This window comes from Homo sapiens, chromosome 1 (assembly GCF_000001405.40).
Source record: "Homo sapiens chromosome 1, GRCh38.p14 Primary Assembly".
Taxonomy (NCBI): domain Eukaryota; kingdom Metazoa; phylum Chordata; class Mammalia; order Primates; family Hominidae; genus Homo; species Homo sapiens.
The window spans coordinates 196,032,363-196,042,865 of NC_000001.11; the positions used below are offsets into that span (position 1 = coordinate 196,032,363).

The following is a 10,503-nucleotide window of genomic DNA, read 5'->3' on the forward strand; positions in this document are numbered from 1 at the left end:
TGTCCTCTTTTGAGAAATACTTGAATATATTGCAGCATCACCAATAAATCACAGACGCAAATTTTGTCTTCCTCATTCAATTAGTTATAGGGAATTTTCCAAGAGATTATAGTTGTGTGCTGGGAGACATAAATTAACAAAGCAGAAGTAAGGACCATGGGCACTTGGGCCATTCCTCGGTCAACTCAACTTTCTTGTGCCTTCAGGGTCTGTTCAAGCCCCGTCTTATCTGTACCGCTTCCATTTGATAATGGACTGCTGTTGTGCATGACCAGTTTTATGGCTTGGTAGGTCAGAAAACACCCATTTCATGATGAGTAGTTTAGATCACATAATAACTTGGTGTTCCGTGGTCAAGTTTTCAATCTCAACTAAAGCCCCAAGGCAAGCCAAAAAAGCTGTTTCTCAAAAGGAAAATAAGTATCCACACTGTTTTGCTCCAAAAGTCTAATGGTATGCATAATGATTTTCCTATAGTGGCCTGCTCAAGGCCCAAATCAGCACTCCTATCTGCCACCAACACTTTAAGCACCATCAGATGTGGTGGGTCATAATGTCTCACAGTCACAGCAGATTGGCCTGGACCTGTTGCAGAACCTTCTCTTCTTCTGAGCCCATCCATAACTATAGATTTTAGGGGGTAATTTGGTAAATAGGTTGAGGTAGCACACCAAAATAGGAATTTCTATTAATGTCTATAGTCTTCTGTGGCCGTTGAAATAATTTCCTGGAAACATAACAAATTGAATATTATATAGGTATAATCTGATTCCTAAATAAGAAAAATTCAATCATATTTGGAGATACTTATAAAGATACTTGGTCAGGGAATTTAAAAATTGTCTATCTACCACTTTTTAAAGACTTGATTGTTTTCAAATTAAAAACAAAATGTATTTCAATCAACACTTCCATTTGTGGTCCACATGTTGATGAGTACCTGTGAATCTATTTATTTGGTAATTTCTTCAGTAAAAAATTCTGCAAAAATATTGATGTATTAAGTTTGTAAATTTCAGTAAATTCAGTTCATACTGATCTCTAGAGAAGGAATATTAAGATAGAACATCAAAAAGCTGTAAATGAGAATCCACAAAATGTGTTACTATATTGATAAATACAAATAATGGGGAAAACTGAATGCAATGTTCATTATTTAACTTATAGAAGGAAAGGCCAAAAGAAACTGACTATGCTGTTGAAGAGGATGCAGAAATTTTGTCTTCAGTGAATCAAAAAGAAAGATGAAAAAAGGGAAAAAAGAGAAGAAAAAAGAAAGTGAGAGAGACAGAGTTGTAGATTCTCAGCACTGAAAATATAATCCATAGAATCAAAAAACCCAGAAGACAGATATGTAGATTTCCTTCAGTTTCATTTTTGTATTCATGTTTATAACCCATAAATAATAAATATTTATAGTAATATTTAAGAGTAGGATCTAACTTGAGTTTGTAGTAAACAGATGATTTCTAACAGAGAAAAATAAAATATACTCTGCTCTATTTCTTGCTTGTCTTTATCTGTTTCTAACTTGGATAATTCATTCGGCTTCCCTCTATGCTAAATGTACACAAATTAAACTGAAGGTTTATTCAACATGCTGATTACTCAAGTTAACACCTCGTTAAGATACAGTAAATTGACTAATTTATTTGCTATATTTAAGACTAATACCTTATTTTACAGCAGGTTTTATTCTGTGTTTTCCAAAGAGGTGCTGATACAAACCTCTGAGCTACTATTGAAACTGTTAAGAACTCCTCCTCCTTTTGTTAAAGTGCCAATTCCCATTTCTGCCTGCTGTGACTTTTACTGCTCTTTACTTGGAAACTACATAGTGTCTTATCCTTCAGGAAACCATCCTCAGTAATTCACGTTGGTGAGCGGGGCTCCTGGTAGGAGTACAGATGATTAACTGCAAGCTCTCCTGCTGTTCTCAGTCAGCAACCAGCTCTATAACTGGCTCAACAGATGTTTCCCTTTTAGAGATTTAAGAACTATAATTGGGTGGAAAAATAGCGTGTTTCACTTAACTCAATTTGCTGCTTGCATTCATTTGTTAGAAAACTCATAATTTAAAATCCACATGAATATATTGGCTTGACTAAGTGGACTATGAAGTATATAATTCTTCCCATGTGTCAACAAAATATATTGCACAATGGTTGGTACCCATGAAAGGCAGTTTATCTGAAATTCAAGAAATTCTATTTTTGAACTCATATCGAAATAACTTGATAACAACGGTCTTGATCTAGTCCAGAGTTCTCTCATGTCAGGTGACTTGCATATCTAGATTACTGCTATATCGCTACCTTCTAGCCTAGAATATTAAACATCCAATAAAGTTTTAAATAAAATATTCTACTAAACTTTAAACATTTGCTTGGCTATATGATGTGATATACAAGATAATAATTTAATAAAAAGTATAAAAAATTGAATTGCATAATTGTTTTATGCATATAATACCTTTATTACATGCTAATATAAATAAGTTCTTTTAATTTGCATTTTTCAGGAGGGTATAAATTGTATTGAAATGAAGCAAACCTAGAGAAAAGTTAGTGTTATACAACACAAAAGGAAAAATAATAAATTTTAAGGTTACACGCCTGTATAATTAGCACTCACATCAAAAAACAGAATGTTAGCAGCTTCCCAGATGCTCCTACTACTTTCTTCTAGTACTTACTGAATCAAGGGTAACCGCTATCCCATCTTCTAACAGCATTGGTTAGTTTTACCTGTTTTGAACATAAATATTTTCCATAAACAGAAATACAAATACGCACTCACTTGTGTTTGGGTTTATTCTTTCACCAATGTGTTTGAGATTCACCTATGTTGTTTCACATGACATGTAGTTTCTCATTCTCAATATTGTAAAATAAACGTATTTTTCATTTCTGCTATTACTGGGCATTTGGATTATTTCCAGGTTGAGGCTATTTTTGTTAGTGCTTTTATGAACATTTGTGTGTGTGTGTGTATTTGTGTTGGTATATACACAGAAGTGAAATGAATGGATCATAATATATGTGATTAAGTTTTAGAAGTTGCTGATAGTTCCAAAATGGTTGCATCAATTTCCACTCCCAGGAAAGTGTGAGTTAGTTATTCCACAGCCTCTCATATGCATGTAAAACATACTTGTTTTTGATTTGTTTACTTCAGCTAGATTGGTAGGTATGTAGTGCTGTCACATTGTGAGTTTAAGTTCCACTTCCCCAATGATTAGTTGAGCTAAGCACCTTTTCTTTGGTTTAATAGTGGATATCCTTCTTTGTGAAATATCTGTTTGCCTTTTATCCATCTTCCTTTTCAGTGGTCTGGCTTTTTTTGTTCCCTCTTTTATTTTTAGTTGACACACAATAATCATACATATTTATGAAATTCAGAGCAATATTTCTATACTTGTATACTATGTGTAATAATCAAATCAGAGTAATGAGCATATTCATCAACACAAACATATATTACTTTGTTGTGTGTTGGGAGCATACAAATTCCTCTCTTCCAGCTTTTTGAAAATACACAATAAATTATTGTGAACTATATTCACACTATAGAGCTATAGAGGTCTAGAACTCATTCCTCCTGTCTAGCTATAATTTTGTATCAATTAACCAATTTCTCTCTAGCCTCCCCTCTCTACTAGTCTCTCATGCCCCCAATAACCACAGTTCTACTCTCTACTTCTATGAGTACAACTTTTTTAGTTTTCACATATGAATTAACAGATAAAATGCTTTTCTTTCTATACCTGACTTATCTCATTTAACATCATGTCCTCTAGGCTGATTCATGTTGCCACAAAGGACAAAATTTACTTCTTTCTTATGGCTGAATAGCATTCCACTGTGTATATACAACACATTTTCTTTATCCATTCATCTGTGGATGGAAATGTAGGTTCATTCTATATCTTGGCTATTGTGAATAGTATTGCCATAAACATAAGAATGTACATATATCTTCCATGTACTTATTTCCTAACCTTTGAATAAATATACAGTAGGGGAATTGCTGGATTTCTATTTCTACTTTTAGTTTTTGAGAAACCTACATACTGTTTTCCATAATGGCTATACTAATTTACATTCCCACCAACAGTGTGTAAGAGTTTCTTTTTCTCTGTATCCTTACTAGCATTTGGGGGATTTCTTGTTGTTGTTGGTTTTTTTGTTTTGTTTTGTCTTTTTGGTGATAGCTGTGCTAGCTAAGGTAAGGTGATATTTTATTTGCATTTCTCTGAAGATTAGTGATGTTAAAATTTTAAAATTTACTTGGTCATTTGTATGATTTTTTTGAGAAATGTCTACTCACAGCGTTTGCCCATTTTAAAATCAGATTATTTGCTTTTGGCTGTTGAGTTGTTTGAGTTCCTTGTCTATCTAGAATATTAGTATTTTGTCCAATGTATAGTTTGCAAATATTTTCTCCCATTCAACAGATTGTCTCTTCACTGTATTGATTGTTTTCTTTACTGTGAAAAAATGTGTTTAGTTTGACATAGTCTCATATATGTTTTTGCTTTTGTTATCTGTGCATTTGAAGTCTTACCCATAAAATCTTCGCCTAGACCAATGTCTTGAAGCATTTTTTTCATGTTTTCTTTTAGTAGTCTGACAGTTTTGTTTCTTACATTTAAGTTTTTAATCTATTTTAAGCTTTTTTAAAAATATGGTGAGAGAAGGGGGTCTAGATTCATTCTTCTGCATATGGATATCCAGTTTTTCCAGCAACATTTATTGAAGTCAGTGTCTTTCTTCAATGTATGTTTTTGGTGCCTCTGTAAAAATCAGTTGGTTGTGAATATGGGAATTTATTTCTGAGTTTTCTACTCTGTTCCATTGGTTGATGTGTCTGTTTCAACATAATGCCAAAATTTTTTGATTACTTTAGATTTGTATTATAATTTGAAATCATGTAGTATGATGCTTCCAGTTGTTTTTTTGTTTGTTTCACTCAGTATTGCTTTAGATATTCAGTCTTTTAAAATTCCACACAAATTTTAGAATTCTTTTTCTATTTGTGAATAATGTTATGGTATTTTGATAAGGATTACATTGAAGATCACTTTGGGTTTTATGGTCATTTTAACATCATTACTTCTTCTAATTCATAAGCATGAGATGACTTTCCATTTTTTGTTTGTCCTCTTCAATTTTTTCATAAGTTTTTTAGAACAGCAGTCCCCTTTTTGGCACCAGAGAACAGTTTTTTTATTGTTGTTTTTTGTGTTTGTTTGTTTTTTTTGTTTGTTTTTTTTTTTTTTTTTGAGATGGAGTCTCGCTCTCTTGCCCAGGCTGGAATGCAACCCTCGCCTCTCCGGTTCAAGCGATTCTCCTGCTTCTGCCTCCTGAGTGGCTGGGATTACAGGCACCCACCACCATGCTCAACTAATTTTTTTTTTTTTTTTTTGTATTTTTAGTAGAAGTGGGGTTTCACAATGTTGGCTAGGCTGGTTTTGAGCTCCTGATCTCAAGTGATCCGCCTGCCTCAGCCTCCCAAGAGACTAGTTTTGTTAAAGGCAATTTTTCCGTGGATGGGTGGAGGATGATTTTGGGATGATTCAAGCACATTACATTTATTGTGTACTTTATTTATATTATTATTATATTTTGACATATAATGAAATAATTATACAACTCACCATATTGAAGAATCAATGGGAGCCTCAAGCTTGTTTTCCTGCAAGTAGATGGTCCCATCTGGGGGTGATGGAAGATGGTGACAGGTCATACAGCATTAGATTCTCATAAGGAGCATGCAACCTAGATCCCTTGCATGCACAGTTCACAATTGATATCGCACTCCAATAAGAATCTTTTTTTTTAAAATTTTTTTATTATACTTTAAGTTCTAGGGTACATGTGCACAACATGCAGGTTTGTTACATATGTATACATTTGCCATGTTGGTGTGCTGCACCCATTAACTCGTCATTTGCATTAGGTATATCTCCTAATGCCATCCCTCCTCCCTCCCCCCACCCCACAACAGGCCCCAGTGTGTGATGTTTACCTTCCTGTGTCCAAGTGTTCTCATTGTTCAATTCCCACGTATGAGTGAGAACATGTGGTGTTTGTTTTTTTGTCCTTGTGATAGTTTGCTGAGAATGATGGTTTCCAGCTTCATCCATGTCCCTACAAAGGACATGAACTCATCATTTTTTATGGCTGCATAGTATTCCATGGTGTATATGTGCAGAATCTAATGCCACTTCTGATCTGATGGGAGGTGAAGCTTAGGCCTCTGTTCCAGTTTGAATGGTTTTGTTTCTTTCACTTGCCTGATTTCTCTGGCTAGGGCTTCCAGTACTGTGTTAAATAAAAGTGGGCATCATAGAATGAATTAGGAAGAAGCCCCTTCTCTTCAATAGTTTGGAATAGTTTGAAAAAAATTAATGTTCTTTAAAAGTTTGTAGAATTCAAGCAGTAAATCCTTTCTGTCCTGGGCTTTTCATTTTGGGAGACTTTTTATTACTGATTCAATCTTATTATTTGTTATTTCTCTGTTAGAGTTTTCTACCTCTTCCTAGTTCAATCTTGGTAGGTTTTATGTGTTCAGAGATTTATTCATTTCTTATTGTTTTTTCAATTTGCATCATTGTTTATAATAGTCTCTAATGACCTTTTGTATGTCTGTGATATCAGTTGTAATGTCTTCTTTTTCATTTCTAGTTTTATTTTTTGGAGGGTCATCTCTCTTTTTCCTTAGTAAGTCTAGCTATGGTTTCTCAACTTTGTCTTTTCAAAAAACAACTTTTAATTTCATTTTTAAAATATTTTGTTGTCTCTATTTCATTTAGTTCTGCTGTGATTGTTATTATTTTCCCTGCAACTAAGTTTGGGTTTGGTTTGTTCTTGCTTTTGTAGTGCCTTGAGGTGCATTCTTAGGCTGTTTATTTGAAATATTTCTACTTTTTTGATCTAGGCATTTATTCCTATAAATTTCCCTCTTAGTGCTGCTTTTGTTGTATCCCATAGGATTTGGTATAGTTTTAAAATTGATTTTTATTTGTTTCAAAATATTTTATAATTTAAAAAATTTATTCATAGACATATTGGTAGTTCAAGACCATGATGTTTTATTTCCACATATTTTTTACAGTTTTCAGTTTTTCTTGCTATTGGTTTTCAGGTTTATTCCATTGTAGTCTGAGAAAATATTTTACATAATTTCAAGTTTTAAAAATTTGTCAAGGCTTGTTTTGTGGCCCAACATATAGTCTATCCTGGAGAATGTTCCATGTGCTGATGAGAAAAATGTGTATTCTGAAGCTTTTGGATGAAATGTTCTCTAAAGGTCAGTTGGGTCCATTTTGTCTACAGTGCAGCCTAACTCTAATTTTTAAAAATTTTCTTTCTAGATAATATGTCCATTGCTGAAAGTGAGGTGTTGAAGTCCCCAACTATTATTGTTTTGGGGTCTCTTTCCCTTTAGCTCTAATATTTGCTTTAAATATTTGGGTGCTCCAGTATTGAGTGCACATATATTTACAATGGTTATATCCCCTTGCTGAATGTATTCCTTCATCATTATATAATGACTACCTTTGTTTATTTTTAAGCCTTTTGACTTAAAGCCTATTTTACCTGATATAAAGATAGCTACTTCTGCATGCTTTTTGTTTCCACATGCATGGAATATAACTTTCCATTCCTTCACTTTCAATCTATGTGTGTCTCTACAGGTAAATGAGTCATTTGTAGCTAGCATGTAGTTGAGTCAAGTTGTCTTATCCATTCACCACTCTATATCTTTTAAGTGGGTATTTGAACTATTTCCAGGTGTAGAACGTCCTTACACATATCTCACAGGGCTGGTCCAGTGGTGATGAATTCCCTATTTTTGCTTGTCTGGGAGGTATTTTATTTTGTCTTTATTTTGGAAGAATAGTTTTGCTCAAAATAGTATTCTTGACTGAAAGATTTTTTCCCTCTTTCAGCACTTCAACTATATTATCCATTTCCTGGACTACAAGATTTATATTCAGAAATCTGCTGTTTCTCTTATTTGTGATTTGACACTTTTGCTATTTTTAGAATTTTCTCCTTGTCTTTGACTTTTGACAGTTTAACTATTTGCCTCAGAGATGATCTTTGGGTTAAATTTATTTGGGACTCTTTGAGCCTTCTATATCTAAATGTCTATATCTCTCCCAAGGCTTGAGAATGTTTCAGCTATTTTATTATTAAAGATGTTGTCTATGCTTTTCCCATTTGCTTCTAGCAATCCCAATATGCAAATATTTGCTCACTTAATGGTGTCACATTAGTCACATAGGCTTTCTTCATTCTAATTTTTATTTTTCTTTTTTCTAATTTATTTTAAAATATATGTCTTCCAGTTCATAAATTATTTGTTTCTGTTTGATCTAGTTTATTGCTGAAGCTTTCAATTGTGTTTTTATTTTATGGATTTAATTCCTCACTTCCAAGATTTCTGTTTGGTTCTTTTTTATGATATCTCTCTCCCTTTTGAAATTCTCATTCAATCATGAATTGTTTTCATGATTTCTTTGTATTATCTACCTATGCTCTCCTTTAGCTTGCTGAGTTTTCTTAAGATCATTATTTTTAATTCAGTTCTAGAAATTTTATAGATTTTTTTTTATTGGGGATCTGTTCATGGGAAATTAACGTGTTCCTTTGGAGGTATTATTTCTTTATTTTTCATTTTTTGTACCAATATTGATATCTATGCATCTGTTGTAACAGTCACTTCTGGCAATTTGGAAGAATGTAGATTTTTCCAAAATTTAGATTTTCCTGTAGATTTATCTGTGGTGTCTGCTACACAGGATAATTTGATTTTGGTTCTGGGTGAGCACAGTAGTGTAGTCTTTACATTATTTATTTGGCTATAATCAACATCAACAGTATCTGTGAGTTCCTCAGTAGCTTAATTTATAATTATTTTGCATTTTACTACAATAAAATCAATATAAAGGAATATTTAAAGGGATATATAAGTTGACATATTTTAATATATGTAAAAAGATATAAATTTGAACCAATACAGTATATTAATTGATCACAATACTGTATAATTATATTTGTGATCTAGTTGATCATTTTTACAATAGGACTCAATAAAACCTTTTTTTGGATATTTATTTTGCTAGGCAATTATTATTCAAAACTATTCATTGTGGTTTACATATTTTTAGTACAAAGAGGAAGACTATAATTATAATTAAAATTTTGTTTTAGAACATGATAGGAAATCCTGTAGAGCTTCTTTATAGTCTTGGAGTTGGGACTTGAATCCATCCAACATCCAAAGTGTAAATAATTTAATAATTTAATTTTAGGGTTTTACTATATGTAGTTGTTATGCTACTGAACAATTACTCTATAATATTTCTGGAATAATTTACACAAAACAACCTTTAAAAGGCTCATGAAACATAAGAATCAACTATAAATCCAGGAAATAGCTCTTAATTTTAATTTACTTCATTACTGTATATGTGACACATAATTTTCTTCTTTAATAAACACCTTGTCACATAAATGAGGCAGTTTGTGGGGCATTCTAACAAAGTTCAGAACACATGGGAAAGTTATTTTCTATCTCTTAATAAAGTTGTAAATTATATTTTCTTGGGAAGATTAAAGTCATATTGTAACAATTAAAATAATCATAAATATTAATCTTTATGCAAATCATATAGTTTTTCAAATTTAGCAGATAAGGGAAGGCATTCCTAAAATACTTAATCATAAATGTAGTGTAAAAACATTGTTTATAGCAAAACGTTAGCAAGTAGTCCACCAACAAAATACTAAGAAAAATATTTATTTCAATTTAAACAATATTCACTTCTCAGAATCATAATCTGCATAGTATTTCTGATTCTCTATAAATTATAGTCATAATTTTGTCATTCTATTTTACCTATAATATGTGAATTCCTCAATATAATTTCATAAGCCTCAAAAACACTCTCAATTCTCAGTTATGGACAGGTTCTCTTCTATTCAGACTTTCCTTTCTCTCAATCTTTCTTTTATTTCACACATTTCTTATAGTGTCTTGAATTATCTAAATACATTAACCGCTTTTCCATGCATTCTCAACGTCATCAAAGAATTTTGGTTATTTATTGAAAGCCAAACATTCTTAATTTTCTCTCTCATTGATAAGGAGTGTCTCTTTGGGGTGAATTATATCTCCTTTTCTCCTTTCTCACCCTGACACCACTCTATATGGCTAAAAAACAAAATAAAGTCCTAAAGAAAAACAATAGCCACAATATAGCAGCATAAAAGCTAATCAATTCATGTATAAAAAAATTTAGATAATGGAAACCTAATTTCTGAAAGTATGAATAATTTCCCTTAATGTAAAAAGGTTCCTATAATAATATCCCAGAAAATAAAAAAAGTTGATAGTCTTTGCTTGAACAATTCTTGCAGTGGGGAAAACTCTGCTTTATTAAAGAGTTCATTTTCTTGCTGGATGGCTTTGAAATTAGAAAGTTGCACC

The 10,503-nt window shown here is 32.2% G+C and overlaps 1 annotated feature.

Moving 5' to 3' along the window:
* Positions 1,553-2,140: an enhancer, noted in NCBI's record as "OCT4-NANOG hESC enhancer chr1:196003045-196003632 (GRCh37/hg19 assembly coordinates)". NCBI's record gives its function as "activates a minimal SCP1, AML or CMV promoter by ChIP-STARR-seq in naive and primed H9 embryonic stem cells {active_cell/tissue: H9 hESC(naive and primed)}" and the evidence as "EXISTENCE:reporter gene assay evidence [ECO:0000049][PMID:30033119]".